At 58.5% G+C, this 19357-nt stretch overlaps 1 protein-coding gene across 48 annotated transcripts in view, besides 3 other annotated features; it reads right to left on the bottom strand.

The window, feature by feature from the left end:
• The window catches only part of TSNARE1 (t-SNARE domain containing 1), a 194950-nt gene that overhangs the window by 127248 nt on the left and 48345 nt on the right, over nucleotides 1–19357 (bottom strand). For 31 of the 48 annotated variants that reach the window (XR_007060718.1, XR_007060717.1, NM_001366901.1 and 28 more), the window contains 3 exons: nucleotides 15310–15436; nucleotides 6416–6565; nucleotides 4639–5145 (listed from right to left, as the gene is read on the bottom strand). Coding sequence is in view for 46 of the 48 variants with exons in the window: in XM_047421475.1 (XP_047277431.1) it covers nucleotides 4639–5145; nucleotides 6416–6565; nucleotides 15310–15436 (784 nt within the window). In the remaining 2 variants the exon portion in view is untranslated. Of the gene's footprint in view, nucleotides 1–4638; nucleotides 5146–6415; nucleotides 6566–15309; nucleotides 15437–19357 lie in introns of those variants that run through there. The other 17 variants (XM_047421487.1, XM_047421484.1, XM_047421486.1 and 14 more) reach the window with 3 other exon arrangements.
• Nucleotides 4245–4761: an enhancer, noted in NCBI's record as "H3K27ac-H3K4me1 hESC enhancer chr8:143424933-143425449 (GRCh37/hg19 assembly coordinates)". NCBI's record gives its function as "activates a minimal SCP1, AML or CMV promoter by ChIP-STARR-seq in primed H9 embryonic stem cells {active_cell/tissue: H9 hESC(primed)}" and the evidence as "EXISTENCE:reporter gene assay evidence [ECO:0000049][PMID:30033119]".
• Nucleotides 4762–5277: an enhancer, noted in NCBI's record as "H3K27ac-H3K4me1 hESC enhancer chr8:143425450-143425965 (GRCh37/hg19 assembly coordinates)". NCBI's record gives its function as "activates a minimal SCP1, AML or CMV promoter by ChIP-STARR-seq in primed H9 embryonic stem cells {active_cell/tissue: H9 hESC(primed)}" and the evidence as "EXISTENCE:reporter gene assay evidence [ECO:0000049][PMID:30033119]".
• Nucleotides 15951–16718: an enhancer, noted in NCBI's record as "H3K27ac-H3K4me1 hESC enhancer chr8:143436639-143437406 (GRCh37/hg19 assembly coordinates)". NCBI's record gives its function as "activates a minimal SCP1, AML or CMV promoter by ChIP-STARR-seq in naive and primed H9 embryonic stem cells {active_cell/tissue: H9 hESC(naive and primed)}" and the evidence as "EXISTENCE:reporter gene assay evidence [ECO:0000049][PMID:30033119]".

Genomic DNA, 19357 nt, shown 5'->3' on the forward strand with positions numbered 1-19357 from the left:
TGTGTGACGGCTCTTGTTACACTGGCCCAGGCGACCACAGAGATGGGTCTCTGCAGGCCAGGGAGAATCACAGGCCCGTGGACCTATACCGTGGATGAGGCAGGGGAAGCCAGGGCGGGCAGGCAGGGGGTGTGGGCCAGGGCACCATGGCCAGGAGGGGCAGCTCAGAGTGGATAGAGCAAATGCTGTTTGGCTCCCACAGGGCGCTAAGAAACCAGACTCAAGCACTGGCAAGGTTCACCCCAGGGAGACAGGGTCACCTCTGAGGGCCTCATGGAGAGGACGTGACTAAACCCCAAGCTGCCATGCCAGCAAAGCTGAGAGCTAGGCTTTGTGCCAGCAGCCATGAGGCAGTCGGGGAAGCATAGGGCAGCTCCTGCCCACCTGGACAACCACTCCCGAGGGAGGTCTGCGGGAAAGGCAGGTGGCAGATGGACACATCAAAGACAAGGCTCGCTCCCCACACCTGCTGAGTCTGGGCCCTCGCCAGCGGAGAGCAGCGGCCCTGCCGTACAGCGCCCTCCTCCTCTGCAACCAGCCCTCCTCTGGACAGCTGCGCCGGGGGTGTCTCCAACACACATGGCAACAGTCCTGCAGCATGCAGGCAACTCCGCAGAGGACTGAGAGGGCTAGAGGCACTTCCCAACAGGGGCTGATGATGCAGCCGGAGAGCTGGGGAGGGAACCAGCTCATTCTGGGGCAGGGTCGGGGCCAGACTGGCCAGCACAGGGCTGGGTTTGTGGCCAGGGTCGGGGCCTCATGCTCCAGGAAGGCGGACGGCATCAGGAAGGAGGCGTCCATGAAGGCTGGGGCGCAGGGGTGGTGCTCAGGCCTTGGAAGATGGAGACAGGCGAGCACCAGTCCAAAAAGAACACGGGGCCACATAAGAGAAGTGAGGCTTGCCGGGGCCTCCTGTGCACCAGCCCTGGCCGAGGCATGTCCCGTGTTTCCTCGTGATGGCAGGAACCCTACTTTATAGAGGAGGAAGCGGAGGCTCCAAGGATCACAGAGCAGACAGAGGCACATGGGGCATGGCTCCACTCACAGGAAACGTCCAGAACAGGCAAAGCCGCAGGCAGACCGCAGACTAGAGCTGCCAGGGCTGGGGGAGCTGAGGGTGGGGTGACTGCCTAGGGCCAGGGCTCCCTTTTGGGAGGTGGAAACGCTCTGGAATTGAGACAGTGGCGGTGGCTGCACAGCACTGGGAATGAACTAGCATCACCAGGTTGAAGACTTTAAAAGGGTGAAACGACAAACTTTGATGTGTGACTATTATGTCAATAAAGAAAGAAAATAATAAGGCTGTGGCACTCACCAAAGGCCCCAGAGCTGGGAAAGGCAGGGCCTGGTGGGTTTGTTCCAGCTCAGTCCCAAGGGTGCCATCCCCTCTCGACCTCAGCCTTCCCACCACTGTCTGGATCTCAAAGGACCTCTCTAGCCCTTTGCCTCAGACCCCAGGGCCACATGACCCAGCCCACACGCAGGCAGGGCCTGCAGTCTGCTCGGACTTCACACCCCACGGATGACACCACGTGCCTAGACACCTCCCTGGGCCCAGAGGGGAAGCCACAGCACAGCATGGGGCTGGTGTCAGAGAAGGGGCAGTGTGTACTGGCTTCTGTTGGCTTTTTAAGTTCTTAATACACTTTAGGGAGCCTGTTTCAAAGTCAAAGACGAGGTATGCAATTAGAGAAATGCCCCTCAAGGCCCTAACTGCAGAGCCCGCCTGGGTCGGAAAAGGAGGTGCTCACAAAACACTCTCACACTCCCCCAGACCCCTCCCCTGTCCCCCGACGCCTCCCATCTGTCCACAAGTGGCTCCACCCTCTCAGATGCAGAGCCTGACATTGGGGAGGGAGTTGAAGTGGCACAGTGGGGACTGAGAGAGGACAAGGACATTGAGAGTGCCCTCAAGTGCCCCCTTCCCAGCCTCCCTGCACCCACCCCCCCAGGCCTGGCCAGGCAGTCTTCTTCGGAGTAACAATCCAGGCCCACATCTCCTGCCAAGGCAAGGGCAAAGGGACTCCTGTTCACAGGAAATAAAGGCTCATCCTTGATGAGCATGGAGAGGAGTAAAGCGCAGGCAGTGGTGGAGAGGCCCCTTGGGGCTGCAGGCACATCCCAGGAGGGCCCTGGCAGGCTAGCAGGCAGGCCGGCAAGGGGCCCCGGGGCCTGACCCCAGCCTCCAACCCGAAGCAGAGTGCGCACCTGGGGCGCATCCAGACACACGGCTGGGGCCAGAGGTCTTGGACACAGGCTAGGACAGCACAAGGTAGAAGAGGATATGAAGCCATCCCACCACCTCCCACCCGGGACCACCTCCTCTTCTTCCACACCAGCGAGGTCACCCCCGTCAGTGTCACTGTCCATCAGCCACTCACTGCCCGGCAGGCTGCAATGAGCCCTCCTGCAGCCCAGGCCTTTTGCGGAGTACCACAGACTGTGTCTCTAACTTTGCCACCTCCTCCACCATCCCGTTAATTACCCAGTGCCCAGCACAACCACCGGCTCACTCAGCACCCCCAGCCCTGACAGCACCAGGAAACCCACTCGAACCCTGTGAGGAGGGCAGGAGGACTTCTTCATGTAAAAGCCAGAGACAAGCAGCCCACAGCCCATGACAGCAGTGCTCTGTGTCACCCCAGTCCCAGGCCCTGCCGGCCACCTACAATAGGGGCTGACCCCACTGCTGGGGCGACTGAGCCACTACAGCGGCTGCCAGAGAGCAGAGGCCCTGTCCTCGGACACAGCAAAGGGGAGGCCCTGGGGCCAGCTATCCCACTGACGGCCAAAGAGGGGCTCCCCCACGGCCCCCAACTGTGCCAAGAGGAAGGGCTGCCCCATAAAGACCTCCCTCAAGCTGAAACAGTCCCGAGGAAGTTCCGGCAGCAAGGCCAAGTGACTCGGGGCCGGGACTGCCACTGCCTGCTACCTCATCCTGCAGCTGAGCAGGAGGCCTCAGCGCCCGTGACCAGAGATGCCTACTTAGGTCTGCCCCGTCCAGGTGGGGCTGGGAGCACTTGCTCAGATCCTCTTCCAGACACTGTCAGCTCCACCACAGCCAGCACTGCGGTCCTCGCCACACACTGGGCTCAGGTATGGGGGCAGATCCCAGCCAATGTCTTGAGGGGAACCTTGGCCCACTGCAGCCCAGTGCTCTAGGGACCCATCCAGTCCCGGGGCAGGGCATGTCCAGGCAGCTTCCACACCAGGACGGAGGCCTCATCGCCCACAGCTGGAATCCAGTGCAGGAACCAGGCTGCCGCCCTCCTCTTCCAGATCTCCTATAGCACGGCCTCGTTCAACAGTCAAGAGGCCTGAGTGCACGCCATGTCTATGCCCAGCACCTGTCCCAGCACCTGTCCAGGCCACCACAGCAAGAGCTCAGACGCCATGCCTACGCCCTGCACCTGTCCAGGCAACTGTCCCAGCACCTGTCTGGGCCCACCACAGCAGGAGCTCAGACGCCATGCCTACGCCCAGCACCTGTCCAGGCAACTGTCCGGACACCTGTTCCAGCACCTGTCCAGGCAACTTCCGGACACCTGTCCCAGCACCTGCCCGGGCCCACCACATCAGGAGCTCAGACGCCGTGCCTACACCCAGCACCTGTCCCAGCACTTGTCCAGACCCACCACAGCAAGAGCTCAGCATGCCATGCCTACGCCCTGCACCTGTCCCAGCACCTGCCCGGGCCCACCACAGCAGGAGCTCAGACACTGGGCCCACGCTGACCTCCTGCAGACCTCCCTGACCCATCAGACACCAATAAAGCGATGCTCTCCCTGGGAAAAGGGACTCTGCCTGAGCCTCAGCCTCAGGGTCTGCAGAAGGCCCACTGCAGCTCTGAGCAGATGCTGCCTCCCAGGTCTCAACCTGCCCACCCTGACACCACAGGGCGGCGCCAGCCTGTAGGAAGGCCTCTTCTGGGTGTTAAAAACAGTAACAGAGCAGCATGTTTCAAACCACGGCGCTGAAACCCAGGTCAGAAAACCAGTTTAGTAAGTTGCAATCAGCTTTTTCTTTCATGAGTAGCACAAGACGCAGCAGGAGGAACATGAGCACGCGTGGCCATGGGGAGCGTCGGCACGGCTAGAAATGCCTGATTCTCGGTGTGTGTGTCTACCCCAGGCAGCAACGGCAAATGCCCTTCTCGCCACGGCCGTGGTCCCAGTGTGTGACTGGGTGATGGTGACGGGAGAACTCTGTCCTGCCTGTCTGCATGCTCAGCTCCGCTCTAGGACGCGGTGAGGGACAGGCCAAGTCAAACGCCAAGCAGGGAGACAAAATTTACTAATGCTCCCTTTATAGGTAATAGATATTGGCTGAATGCACAGACGGGTGGATGCACAGATGAGTGAAGAGTGAACGGGGCAGAGGATGAATGAACAAGAACACTCCAGATGAGACAGTGGTGATGGGGAGTGGGGGGAGGAGGGGAGAAGAGGAGGAGGAGGAGGAGGAGGAGGGGGAGGAGGAGGAGGAGGGGAGAGGAGGAGGGGAGAGGGGAAGGGGAGGAAGAGGAGGAGGAGGAAAGTCACTGTGGAGGAAGATGCAGGGCAACATGGCCAAGATGGGCCCCCCCCTCCTGCTGGACAGAGTGGCACCCTAGCAAGGTGAGCTGAGCAAGGAACTCACCTCTGGGCGGCTCCAGACTGAAGCCCTCGGAGGGCAGGGCCTGGCAAGAGAAGGTCTTGGCCACCACCTGCTCCACGGGCGTGAGAGCCAGGGCCTGGGGCTTGCCGGAACCAGGGCTGGGGCCATGGGCCGCCTTCCGGAGGTCGCCCAGCTTGCGCCGCACGACGGCTCGTAGGTCCCGCCACTTGTGCTTCAGGTCCACAACGTCGCGGCGACAGTAGCCCAGCGCATTCACGGCCTGCAGGATGCGGCTCCACACGCGGTACCTGCGAGTGGGCTCGGCCTTCAGCAGCCCCGTGCCAAACAGCAGCTGGTGGTGCTTGCTCACCTTGGACACCAGCACCTCGGTCTCCTGCGGGCAGAAGTTGGGCTTCCTCTTCTTGGCCCGGGTAGTGCTGGGCCCCGCCATCCGGCCATGGGGCCCAGCAGCCGAGTCCTTCCTCGGGCCAATGGTGGGTGATGAGGTGGGCTCCGGCATCCGGCTGCCTTCAGGGGCAACCCCAGGCCCTGGAAAGGCACCAAAAGGCGGATGTTTAAGGCCCTGGGCCTGTGGAGGCAGCGGCCCCGGCGGCAGCTCCCTACGGCGCCTCCTCTCTGGTTTCTGCTTCAGGACACGGCTGCCTGGTCCTGGCCACCACCCCTCCCTGCTGGGTGTCCAGAGACCTGGGCCCACGATCCCCTAGCCCTGACACTGCCTCACCAGGTGCCATCAGCAAGCACGTAGCTTCTGGGTCACAGTGCCCCATCTCCAAGACAGCACACCACTAGCCCTGCCTGCCCCTGCAGCCACCACAGAGGTGCAGGAGCCGAGCAGGCTAGGTTGCGGCCCTGGACCCTCTCCAGGGTTTCCTGCCCTCAGGCCAGGGCTGGGCTGCTCCCGGGATCAGCCCTCGCCTGGGGACAGCCTTGCCAGCTGACATTTTGGAAGGCTCCTGCCTACCTGCCCACAGCACAACTAAGAGCCCTCTGAGCACAGGCCTCGGCTTCCCTCCCACACTTGGGCCAGGGCCGGTGGGGACACGGTGGCCAGCCTCGACTTCCCCTCCCGCACTTGGGCTGAGGCCGGTGGGGACGTGGTGGCCTGGTCGGCAGCCTCACCCCCCTACCATCCTGTGCCTCCACAGCCCTCCATCCTGCAAGGGAACAGGGCTGCACTGGCAACAGTGGCAAAGTCTCTGCGTCTTTGCTCACAGACGAGCTTTTTCACTAACCGGACCAGCTTCCTGAAGGCAGGGACAGTGCCCGACACTGCAGGTTCCCTGGTGCTGCATGTCTGAGCCCCCAAGGAGAAGCACTCAAGTACAGGCCTCTCCCTGGGGGCCTGGTGTCCCAGAAGGACCTGGAAGGGGCCCCTCCACCAGGAGGGAAGCCCACCAGGATACCTGCAGAGGTCACCGCACCTGTTCCTCCCCAAACCACAGCAAGCACTCTGCCACCCCTCACCGGCCCACTGCACAAGGACAGTCGGGCTTGAGGGTGAGGGGCCACAAGAGCAGGTCCAGAGCCCCCAGCGGGAGCACCCCTGCTCAGTCCTGAGCCTACAGGGTTGGCCAGCTCTGGCCACCACACAGCTTCCATCCTGTGGCCTGTATGGGCCGGCTGCACCCTTGACCCTACTCAGGGGAAGGCCTGGCAGGGGGCAGGGGATGCAGGTCCCTTGCCTCCTGGTCCCAGCCTCCTCCCTGCAGCTCCCACCTGCTGACCCTGCCCTCCTCAGCACCTGCATCTCCAAGCCGCCTTCCCAGGACCCCTGAGACCCAGCGTCTGAGTGAAGTACCTCGCTTCCTGGCCCTTGGGACAATAGGCGTGCCTGCTGGCCCCAGATCACCTTCCCCGTCCTTCCCCACACAGCGGTTCTGCAGCTTGCTCTCTGGCGACGGGCAGGGGAAATGGCGGATTCCATACTCGGTCCAACATCTAGCGCACTCTACGGACAGCAAGGGACAGTCACGATTACTCTCAGCTCAGGGCGCTCCTGGCAGTGCCAGGCCCCCATGCACGGACAGCAGACACCCAGGACCCGAGATGCTCCACTCAGGGCTCCTCCTCCAGGAAGCCCTCCCTGCCTGCTATATCCTCTGGATCATCCCCCTTCTGCTGAATGCCAGCAAGGAGTTCAGAACTTTAGGTGTTCCGGACTTTTCTCTGAACCAGTTCTGAAATGTGACTGCAAACTAGCAAACAACCCCCAGGGCTTGCAGGGGTAGCCACAGATTAATCCCTGGACAGCTATTACCAGTCAGCAACAAAGTACAAAATGGGAAGTGCGGCTCCAGCATCGTTTAAGGCAATTTGAAACTGCTGCGACCTCCACGCTCAGAATCATTCTACTGCATTTTATAAAAGTGCCACTCCGTAGCGTATGGGAGATGAAAAGCAAAGCCACACTGCTGTCCCCACTCGGCTTTGCGGAGGCAGAGACGCGTGCTCCCCATCTCCCGGCTCCCAGCCCCCGCACGGAACGCATCGTAATTTTCTCTAATTATTTCCATTTGTTCACAAAACATTTCTGGACACATTTCATTGAAATTCATTGATCCTCAGATGCACCTTATAAAAGCCTTTTAAAATCTCCAGAACCACGATGTGCCTTTCGATCCACGGCACCCCAGAGTCACAGACACGCCGTGTGCGCCAGGCTGAGGCCTCCGAAGCCAGACCCCGCGTGCCTGTCTGCAACCTGTTCTTCCCGGGACGTGTCCTGGTAGGTCACAAGGATGCTGCTGGCTTGGAAGCGCTTTCCAGCCACATCCGCGGCCTCCAGGGCCAGGTCGGCACAGTGGGTCCCAGGGCTGCATCCTTGAGCCAAGCGCCTGAAGCAGCAGCTCTTGGAAAAGGCCCTTCATACAACCCTCAGAGAAGTGACACTAGGGGCCGCCCTGGTGAGCTCCCTCTCAGGATCCGTCTAGGGGGACCCTACAGCCCAACGTGACAGGGAGGGAAGGACTTTCCCAAAGCCTCTCATCGGACCCCCACGAGGTGGGCGAGGGCCCAAAGGCTACCTGGTCCATCCTCCTGCCCCCAGACAGCACTGCCCAAACCACACAGGCAGAGACAGGCCTACGGCCACACAGACTCAGGAAAGGGCCTCCAGTGCCCAGCTCACTGCTCTGGACTGGGGCACGCTCACCCTCCAGCTCTGGGCCCTGGTGGGGGGAAGAGGGAGAAGCCTGCAGAAGGACGGGAGGGCAGCTGCCTGGCTCATTTCGGGGCGGAGGTTTCCGCAGGGCAGAGAAGTGCAGCAAAGTAGATCAGAGTCAGAAGACAACCCTCTGGAGGGGATGGAGAGGGAGCAGCCGCAGCCTGGAGACAGACACTGCCCTGGGAAAACCAGGCACCCACGAAGAGGCACTGACCAAGGCCCGGAGGGGGCCCAAGTCACAGAGGGAGGGATCCCAAGTCACAGACGCCTCTCAGTGTTTGATGAAGTGAGCCTCCAGCATGGGTCCCCCTCCCAAGAGGGCAGGGCCTGTCCCTCCAGCTCCCGGCAGGCCCTTCTCCCCTGGCATCCACACCATCCTCTCTCTGCACAGAGACACACTCTCCAAGCTGGAAACCCCGGACAATGGCCTGTGAGGGGATCCAGGCACTTGGTGACTGAGCTCAGCCTCTGCTCAGAAATGGGGTCCCACAGGCCCCCAGAGAGACCACAGGCCCTGCTGTCACTCAAGGACACGCCATCACCTCGCCACACTGCATCCGCTCACCCAAGTCCAGAAGGACACGCCATCACCTCGCCACACTGCATCCGCTCACCCAAGTCCAGAAGGACACGCCATCACCTCGCCACACTGCATCCGCTCACCCAAGTCCAGAAGGACACGCCATCACCTCGCCACACTGCATCCGCTCACCCAAGTCCAGAAGGACACGCCATCACCTCGCCACACTGCATCCGTTCACCCAAGTCCAGAAGGACATGTCATCACCTCACCACACTGCATCCACTCACCCAAGTCCAGGTCCTGCCCACTGCACCAACGTTATTCCACGCTGCTCCCCACGCCCCTCGAGGGGCCAGTATGCTCTGCCCACCTGAGCCACGTGAACCTAGAACATGGCAGGGACAGGCCTGGGACATTTGCTGTTTGCTTTTGAATAGAATAATACCCACAAATTACAGAAAAAATGTAAATGCAGACAGTTATAAATAAAAAAATAAAGATCACAACATCCAGAGATAAACATTAACCCTGGAGGTGGGCGGCTGTCTCCCACAAGCAAATGCTGCACGTATGGCTTTGCTTCTTCCACGCACCACATTCGCCACAAATCACAGAACGTGCGCGGGTCACTAGAGAGCCTTCGACGATGTGATTTTAATGCCTGCGTCAAATTCTATCCCAGCTGTAACACATCGTCTCCCTAAAGCCAGATGCTTACAGTATTTCTGAGTCAGCACTCGCACAAATCACATGTGGTGAACACCTCTGCCCGTGTGTCTATCTCCTAAGACAGAGTCCAAGAGGAAGCACGGCTGGGCTAAGAGAAGGAACACTCCCGGCCGCCCCAAGCTGGCTGCTCCCGGCACCCCATGCCCACCCTCCCCTGGCCCCCGCTCCCGCCCCAGGCTGCCCCGAAGCTGGCTGCTCCCGGCACCCCATGCCCACCCTCCCCTGGCCCCCGCTCCCGCCCCAGGCTGCCCCAAAGCTGGCTGCTCCCGGCACCCCATGCCCACCCTCCCCTGGCCCCCGCTCCCGCCCCAGGCTGCCAAGGGCGTGTCGACATTTTCTTTTCCTGCCAGGTTATCGTGAGGCTGACCGCTGCTGGTGCGCTGAGGAGACAGCTACATGTCCTAGCTGTCCACAGAGCTGGCCCGTGTGCATGGAGCTCTGGGGAGCTTTCTTCTGTGTATCTGAGTTATTTATGAGTTGACGACTCACTAGCTGGCTTTTTGCTGCCTCTGTCCAGAGAACGTTATAGTGACACGACGGCCCTAAGGTGCTGCACAGTTAGGGTGGCAGGACTTTGGCACACAGCAGGGACTGGGCACATGCAGCTGACCCTACACCCATGGGGAATTTGTCCAGGCCCCACCAGCCTGCCTGGAAGGCCTTGCCCAGCTCTGAGGGTCCTCGAAGGCCCCGCCCACACAGAAGGCCAAGAGCTGAGGGGAGCAAAGGAGGCACTGAGCCAGGCTCGCCCCCATGCCCCAGAAGCAGCCCCAGCGCGACGATTTTCAACAAACCGGGACAACACTGGTGCTTTTCTTTCAGATGTGTGTTCGGGTTTGAAATCACTTTAAAAAGACAACTGGAAAAAAGTACATCTGAAAATGATGAAGTAAACTTCCAAGTAATTCCTAAACAAAGAAATCATAATGGAAAGTTAAAGATATTTAGAACTGAAAAAAAATTTAAAATACTATACATTTCAAAATGTGTGATATTCAACTAAAGCAGTTTCTAGGGAAATTTCTAATTTCCAATGCTTTTATTAGAAATGAATATTTACCATATTCATGGTGAATGTGGTAAATATTCAATCTGGGAGTCAGAAAAATAAAATAGCATCAACTTAAAGAAAGGAGGGAAATGATGAAACTATGAGCAGAAATCAATCACAATTTAAAACTCGCACGCACAGAAGGGGGAAGCCAGGGGCCATATCTCTGCAGAGACCTGTGGAACTGCCAGGTCTCTGTCGATACTGACTATAAAAGAAGACAGAGAAGGTACAAATACAGAATATCAGGAATGAGAAAGGGGACGTGGTTGAGATGCTGTGGCTGTGAAAGCAGCAGCAGCCACCACTGGCCCTCAGCGGCCCTGCCCGAGCTTCACGGGTGTCGACACATCCATCTGCATGACCACCAGGCCGGAGGTCTCTTCTCACCTCCCCTTCCCAACCCTGAGTTCACAAAGCTCATGAGCAGCAGGGTGGGCAGGGCTGAGACCAAGGCAGGCAGGGTGGGTAGACAGGGCAAGGCAGACAGGGCAGGGACCAAGCAGGCAGGGCTGGCACGCTGGGACAAAGACTAGCAGGGCTGGGACCAGGGCAGGCAGGGCAGGCAAGGCTGGGACCAGGGCAGGCAGGGCGGGCAAGGCTGGGACCAGGGCAGGCAGGGCGGGCAGGGCTGGGACCAGGGCAGGCAGGGCTGGGACCAGGGCAGGCAGGGCAGGCAGGGCAGGCAGGGCAGGCAGGGCAGGCAAGGCTGGGACCAGGGCAGGCAGGGCGGGCAGGGCTGGGATCAGGGCAGGCAGGGTGGGCAGGGCTGGGACCTCGGCAGGCAGGGCTGGGACCAGGGCAGGCAGGGCGGGCAGGGCTGGGACCAGGGCAGGCCGGCTTCTGCATCTGCATCTTAACCATTACATGAGGGTGCCCCAGTGTCACAACTGACAGCGAAAGGCTATTGTGTACAATTTCATTTCAGTAAGTTGAACATTTAGATAAAACAGTCGAATTTCCAGAAAAATGCAACTTAACAAAACTGACCCAAGAAGAAACAGAAAGCCTGAATAACGTTTGACAACTAGAGGAATTAACTGGTAGTCAGAAAATCTTTCCACAAAGGAAAACACTAGACCCACATAGTTTTACAGCAAAAACCCAGAAACATTCAAGGAATACATAATCCTGTTCTTCCACAAACTCACCAAGAATAGAACCACCATCTCCATTCAACACTGCAGTAGAGGTTCCAGCCAGGAAAAGAAACACATAATAGGTGAAAGCACTGGAAAAGGAGCGAAAACACTGTCATTATGCACAAACACCACCATCTACAGGGAAAGCTCAACAGATTCCACAGACAAATAATTACAATAAAAAGGGTTTAGCAACATGGCTGGACACAAACCAGTACACAAAAATCAATTACACCACACAGGAAAACCCTGGTTTCTTCAACAAATAAACTTGGAGGGAAATAAAGAGATGGAGGGAAGCCAGAGACAGAGACACACTCGAAGGAGGAGCATAGGTCAGCTGTAACACGGGATCTCGGGAGGCTCCACGTTAAACGGCATCTCTGAAACAGACACTCCTAGAGGCCGTCGGCCACTTCAACTGCAGGTCGGGTATGGCAGCCAAACGTGCTGTCACAGTGGAAATCTGGTCACACATAAAAGGAGTCCTTCTCTTTTAGAGACACGCTGAAATATTACCAGATGAGATGATCTGCTATCTGGGATTTACTCCGGAATGACACAGCAGGGAAGCAGTTTGGGGGCACATGTACCGCCACACTGGCCACGAGCAGTGAGGGGAAGCCAAGGTACACCAGGGGCTGTGACGCGTCTGAGTCTACTTTGATGTGTTTGAAAGTTTCCACATTTAGAAAATTAAAACATAAAATATTCAAAAATTAAATACAATATCTGGACTTTGTTCTTAGAAAAAGCCAATTACATGCACACACCAGCAAGACGCATTTGGAAAATGTAATATTCAGAATGGTACCACTTACAACAGCAGGAAAGAAAGTTTTTACTTTCTTGAAATGAATTTAAGAAAAGATATGTAAGATCTTTACAGAGAAAGTTAAATGACTTCATTGCAAGACATTAAAGAAAACCCCATAAATATAAAGACGTGTGCTTGTTCACGGACTGGAAGGCTCAGAACGATAAAGAAATCACTTCTCCCCACACAGATGCAGGGACGCCAGGCAAACCCAGTCAAAGCTCCAGAGTGCGACAGGTGATCCTAAACCTTATGGTCAACATCAAACCGCCAAACATACCCGAGACACTTCTGTAGAAAAATAAGAAGGGCACTTTGTTCTAAAAAGTATTGAGAATTATAGCAAAACTATAGAAATTAAGGTGGATTTTGGCACAGGAAAAGCAAACTTGACCAGAGAATCCACATGAAAACTTTATCACAGAGCTGTCACTGCAGGTCTACAGAAGAAAGGCAATTCAACAGTCCACACAATTTGTTCTTCAAACAGAGAAAAACAACATCACAGCTTCCCCTCCACACTCACCCCACCTCACACCGTAAACAAAAATCAAAGGTCAATTACAGTCTTAAATATGAAAAACAAATTGTTCAATCTTTAGAGGGAAGTAAAAGATGGCAGCATTATCATCTTGTGATGGAAGTTACTAAAGAGAAAAGTGCGAGTCCCGAAGGGAATGATGGATCAACTCAACGCTGCCCTGGCTGAGAACTTCTGCTTCCCAGCAGGCCTCCCAGTGAGAAGCCGGCCCGGCCTGGATTGGGCTGTGTAAACCCACCTGATGAGGCTTTCATCTCCAGAGCACAGGAGGGAAGCCTGTGAACCCATAAGCACAAGGCAAACCCAAGAGAAAAGCAGACAAACAGTGCTCACTGGCAGGAAGACCCACATGCCCAATAAACACGAAAAGGGGATCCACCCCATTCATTATCAGAGAAACATCCTTCCAACCAGAGAGGACAAGCCACACCCACCAGGCTGGCAAGACATCACCGTCCGACACCCCTGGGTGCTGACAAGGACATGGAGCAAAGAGGGCTCTGGGTGGGGCCCGCATCAGCTCGGCTGCAGGTGGCCCAGCCCAGGAACGCCACGCCCCGTGTACCTGCAGAGGCCCTGGCCATGGGCACAGGCTGTGAGGGACGACACAGGAGCCAGCCTTAGCATCCCTGAGATGCGGAACACGCACAGACGCCGCGGTGTGCTCACAGAACCCAACGTGATGCAGCGCGGAATCGAAGGAGCCACAGCCACGCGCAACGTGGAGGCTCTCAGAACACGATGCGTAAAAGCAGCACGACACGGAGCAACGCAAATCGTCTGAGCCCAGGGAAGTTCAAAACCTGCACAGCTCAGCAACATACGGCTCAGGGATATGCACACGCATAAGCAAAACCGTGAAGAACCAGCAAGATGCGGCACATACACAGTTCAGAGCAAGGACGAAGGAGGCAGGAGGGTAAAGGAGCAGGGGCCTGGGGGTCAGGCGCACCACCTCCGAACCGTTAGATCTGAACCTGTGTCTACACCCCACGCACACGTGTGCACATGCACACACACGTACAATCCTGTGTCTACTCAGCGTCCCTTGGAACACATTTTTAAACATAAAATAGATCAAGCAGCTGACACCGTGCCCTGCCTAAGGCCCTGCAGGCTTCCCTGGCCCATGGAAGGAACCTCCATCCACACCGGCCCGTCTCCCAGGACACTCTCATTCAGGTCTCCCGGGGCTGCCTTCTCCAGGGTCCCCCTCTACTCTCCACTAAGCACCCCCTCCCCGAGGGCCCTCCTTCACCTCCTCAGTTCATGCAGTCCACCCCTCTGGGCTGGCAGTCCTAGTCCCTGCTGGGTCATTTCCTTCCTAGCACTCAAGAAAGAGGATCTCAGAACCATCCCAGTCAGAACACAGGCCCCCTAAGGGCACAGGACTCACTTGTCTCTCTGCCTCCTGCCCAACTCCTGGCACACAGCAGACGCTGTATCAATGGTCTCGGCGGGAAGGAGGAAAGGGAGGCAGAAGTGGGAGGAGACCAGGCCAGCCCGGCACTCCCAGTGGGCAGGAAGGATGAGGGCATCCTAGAGGACCTGGCCTGTGAGGCGCTAAGTGGTGATGGCAAGATGAGGAGGGGCACTTGGTGATATCACCAATGGCCATCTGCACCCGTCCTCCCTGCTGCCATCCTATCCCAGCAGGGCTGAGGCAGGCAGCCGCCCTCTCGAGCACATGCTGCTCCCTCTCTGCAGGGCTGGGGGTGGGAAACAAATCCAGGGCACTGGGGGCTGCCAAGGAGCCAGCGAGGGCCCCTCAGCCGGCCTCATTCCCTGAACAGGCCCCCTGGGGACCAGAGCCCCGGCAAGAGCCAAGCAGAGCTGCAAGGGAGGAACCACCCCAGCAGAGAAGGGCCCCAGGGTGAGGGAGACCTGCCCGCACAGCTGGGAGGACGCTCACTCCCCAGCAGAGAAGGGCCCCACGGCGAGGGAGCCCCTGCCTGCACAGCTGTTAGGCTGAGCCCGAGGCCTGGCACTGGGTGGAGAGAGGTACGCAAAGAGCTTGAGGCCCCAAATTCAGTCCTCTTCCCCACACCCAGACAACCCTCATGGCGGCTGCCCTGACCCAGACATCACCTACATGACCCAGGCCTGCCCACGTGAAGGGCCGGATGTGCAGGCCAAGCTGACAGCAGAGCAGGAGCGGGGGGTTACCATGGCAGTCAGGTACCATGAGGACCTAAGTGGGGCCAGCCTGCAGGGTGGGGGTGGATGAGGTGAAATGGAAGAGCAGCGGCTCGACGCTCTGAAACACCTAGAAATAAACCCCAGCTCTGCCCTGCACCAGCTGCGCGGCCCTGGGATGAGGTTTGAGAGCCCCAGGGGCCTCAGCTTCCTCCTCTGTACAGAGTGCAAAGTGCCACCTGCTCCACACCGTCATTAGGAAGGCCAGGTGAGATCCTGCATCCCCTCAGCCACTCTCCAAACACCCCGAGCACCACCCACCAGCAGCTTGGTGCTCTAAGTGCCAGCTCCATGCCCAGCATGAACTGGGACACCCAGGTCTGCCCACACCCAGGACAGCCACTCCTGATGCTTCCTTTCCAGGGGCCTGAATGGGCTGAGCTCAGGAATCACACCCCATCTCAGGACACAGGCCACTTTCCTCAAAAGAACAGAACTGGTTTCCAGCCATCAGCATGACACAGTGAGGATCCTACCCTACCCACTACCATCCCCTCCTCCCCGCCCCCACTTCCAGCTACTATCATTACCTAGGGGCTGACAGCCTTGTCTCGAAGGTCCCCCGAAAGGGCCACGGCTCCCCAGGCCACCTCCACGGGCGATGGATCCGTATGACATCTTCTTACAGATGGCAGGGCCAGCAGCCTCCACACTGAGCTGGAGGAAACACGAAAAGCAGGGGGAAGAGGGGGAAGACATGGGGATTAAAGCTCCAATTCAGGGTGCACAGGGGCCGCCGGCCCCTCCCCAGCCCCAAGACCCTGGCTCCATTGTACCCATTCCCTAGGCTACTCCAGGCTTCTCACCAGCCCCCAAACAGCAACCCCCCCACAGAGCCCCTTCAAGGTGGCCTCTTGGTCCACTGGTCCCTGCAGGAACACAGAAACACAGCCTGAGGAAGGTGTGCCCCCTCCCCTCCCAAGAGGGACCCCCAGCAAGGTGAGCCCTCTGGCCGGCTCTTAAAGACCAACCCCCACCGCCAGCCTCCCAGGTGGCTTCTGGGAGCGCTGGGCCCCCGCCATGCAGGCAGGGCAGCATCCACTGCATGTGAGTCAGGCCCAGGCCGGGCTGAGAACCCGGCACCCATGCAGCCTGCCGGCATCTCTAGCTCCATCGTCTTGAGCCGCACTCCACGGTAGTGGGGCTGGGTCAGGCCCGGGGTTGGCTCTGCCCTGGCTGAATGAAACCTGTGCAGCTGGCAAGAGCCATGGGGCCTCTCTGGGCCTCAGTTTCCTCATCTGTGAAGTAAGGGGAAGAAGAGGACCTGCGTCTTAGGGCTGTTGTGAGATGCAATCAGACACACATTATGGTTGGCAAACAGTAAGCACTCAACACATAACTCATGGGAGTGGCGCCACCCTTGGGGCACCGGCCGTCCCTGGAATGGGGAGCTGGGCATCCCGCCCAAACCTCTCCTCCCGTGGGCTGCAGCTCCAGGGACTCAGAGCAAATGACCAGAGGATAACGGGAGCTCTCCTGCCCAGACACTGCCAGAGCGTCCTCCCTGTGTGCAGGGGTCCCTGTGCGGGCAGCTTCTGACTGGCCTACACCCTAATGCTATCACTACGGAACCTGCTGGCCAGGCCACACCTTAAGTTCTAAACACCTCAGGGCAAGGGCTCCACCCGCCCACACAAACACCTGAAGTGCGAAGGCAGGTTTCAGAGCAAAGTGAGCCTCACGCCAGCTGAGTACAGACCCAAGTCCCTAGGGCCGGGGAAGGCGGTGTGACCCCACGTTCCCTCTGAGCAAGACACCCGCCTGTGCCATCCAGCCCTGCCCAGAGCAGGGCAGCACCAGGACACCATCGACCCAGTGGGCCCCACTGCCCTGCTCAGAACAATCGGGACCCAAACAGCTCTGGTTGCTGCGGATCGCACCTACTAACATCCACTGCATTAGAAACTCAAACGGAGGCTTCTGAAATAGTAGTAACTCATTTTAAATAACAAAGCTCTTACTGTGAACACAGATAACATCTTTATTAAAAACCACTGCATTTTCCAAAACAAAACCCCTCAGAGACAGCGGTGCCGTCCTACAGTCGTGGCACCCTCCGGGCAGGCCCAGCAGGACAGCTGGACTCACACCTGCTGCTGGCGCAGGCCTTGTTCTGCCCAGGGCGCACGAAAACACCCGGCCCCACGCAGAGAGGCAGCAGGGAGAGTGGTCCTCAGCCCCTCTCTCCACAGGTCTCAGGCCTCGCATCCCAGGTACCTGCCCAGTCGCCATGGCCTCCCTCCCCTCTCTGCACGCTGCCTGGAATGGGGAGGTGGGCAGGAAGTTAGGTCTCAGTAGGAGGCAGGAGATGTCTGCTGCCCCAGGGGAGAGTGGGCTCTGAGAGCGGGTGGGATTCCAGGAGCCCCGAGTGAGAGGCAGGTCTCAACGCAGCGAGCAGAGAGCTCTGCACATGTGCCGGGGCCTCATCGGGAAAAGCTCAGATGTGGAAGACAGCCCAAGACACATGGGGGAAACACAGCGTGGAGGAAACAGACACTATCCAGAGAGAAAACTTTAACACGTAACAGCATAGCAGCTAGCACTTCCTTAACACTTGGCGCGTGACGACAATCACAGAGGCGCTTTACTACACGCGCAGATTCATCCTCACAACCCTCTAAGCTGGGGCCACAAGCATCTTTACCTTGCAGCTGAGGAAACTGAGGCATGGAGAGGTGAGGTAACTTGCCCAAGGTCCCCCAGCTGCTAAGTGGTGGAGAAGGTTTCAGGCTCGGGCAGTCTGGTTCCAACACCTGAGTTCTCTGTACTGCCCTCAAAGGAACGAGCTCAGATAACAAAGGCTGTGTTAACAGCCCCAGGACAGGAAGGGGGGACGCCAAGAAAGGGACTTTCAGAGAACACAGAGGAGCACCGAGAAGCCAACATTGGGAGCAGCAGCAAAGAGCTCCAGAGAAGGGGCAGGCAGAGCGGGGGCCTCCAGAAACCAGAGCACGAAGACACCGCAGAGTCAGAGGAAACCACCAGCCCTGCACAGGCACTTCTCCATCCGAGGAAGGAGAGTTCCAGAAAGAAGGACAGGAGGGCCAGGGGAAGAGAATCGTCAGGAACAGCATTCACACTGATCCCAGCCAGAGCTCACTCGAGCTGGTTAGGGGCCCCTCACGCCCCGTGAGACCTCAAGAGCACAAGCCGTCTTGGGTGAGGGCTGCTGCACAGGCTTTCAGAGAACTCGGGGAGGGGCACTCAAACCCCAGGTGGGGAGGGTCCAGCAGTCCCAAGGAAGCGGCTCAAGGGGGCTCTGAGCACAGGGCACTACTTGCCATCACCTCAAATGATGGTGGGGCGCTGGTGGGGCCAGCCAGGCCTGACACAAGACTTGTGTTTGGGGAGCTCCCTCTACTTCAGGATTGGGAGCAAGCTGCTGGGGGCACGTGAGGGGCTGGCAGGGCAGTGAGCAGGTGGCGGCAGGAACCAGGGCCCGGGAGGGAGGAGGGTGGAGCTAGGGATTGGCACGGAACCCAGGGAGAGTCAAGGACAAGTCCTAAGTTCTGGCCCAGAAGGCACACGGACAGTGCTTTGACTTCCTCGTGCCAGAAAGTGAGGGGAGCCGTGTGCAGGGATGAGCCCAGAGGGGCTGGCACAGGCAGGCAGATACCCAAAGCCCTGGAGGTGGGGCTACATGCAGAACGCGAGTCCACTGTGTAGGGACAGTTGTTAAGGAAGAGAACTCCCAGGGAGAGAAGCCACCACGGAGAGAGGAGAGGGCCCCACAGACAACACAGGAGATGGGGACGAGTCAGGGGGATGTTAACCAGAGGCCACGAAAGCCACGGCGGAGGCTCCATGAGAGGAGGGGGCGGCCAGCGGCCATCACTGCAAAGGGCGGCGGGGTCTGCTGGGTTTCAGGACAAGGGGAGCAGCCAGCGGCCATCACTGCAAAGGGCGGCGGGGTCTGCTGGGTTTCAGGACAAGGGGAGCAGCCAGCGGCCATCACTGCAAAGGGCGGCGGGGTCTGCTGGGTTTCAGGACAAGGGGAACAGCCAGCGGCCATCACTGCAAAGGGCGGCAGGGTCTGCTGGGTTTCAGGACAAGGGGAACAGCCAGCGGCCATCACTGCAAAGGGCGGCGGGGTCTGCTGGGTTTCAGGACAAGGGGAGCAGCCAGCGGCCATCACTGCAAAGGGCGGCGGGGTCTGCTGGGTTTCAGGACAAGGGGAGCAGCCAGCGGCCATCACTGCAAAGGGCGGCAGGGTCTGCTAGGTTTCAGGACAAGGAGGAGCACAGGAAGCTTGAGGAGGGCTCATGAGAGGTAGGAACGCTCATGGGAGGAGGGAAGGGATTCAAGTCTGAAAGAGCTGAGCTGAATCAGAGCTGGGGCCCCTGGGGGGACTGGAAGGCTGCCCAACTCCCCTCTGCTCCGGCCAGGCACATGGAGGGGAGTGAAGATTTGTGAGCTGCTCCACCGCCACCAAAGAGACCACCTGACCAAACTCACAATTTCATTTCGCTGCATATGGAAACATGAAACACCTCTGTGTTTGCTCAGCCAGCTCAGGGACAAAGGCTAACCCACGGTCAGGGCCACCGAGTCACCGCAGGCAGAGGAGGCCAGTCTGGA

This window comes from Homo sapiens, chromosome 8 (assembly GCF_000001405.40).
Source record: "Homo sapiens chromosome 8, GRCh38.p14 Primary Assembly".
NCBI classification, from domain to species: Eukaryota; Metazoa; Chordata; class Mammalia; order Primates; family Hominidae; genus Homo; species Homo sapiens.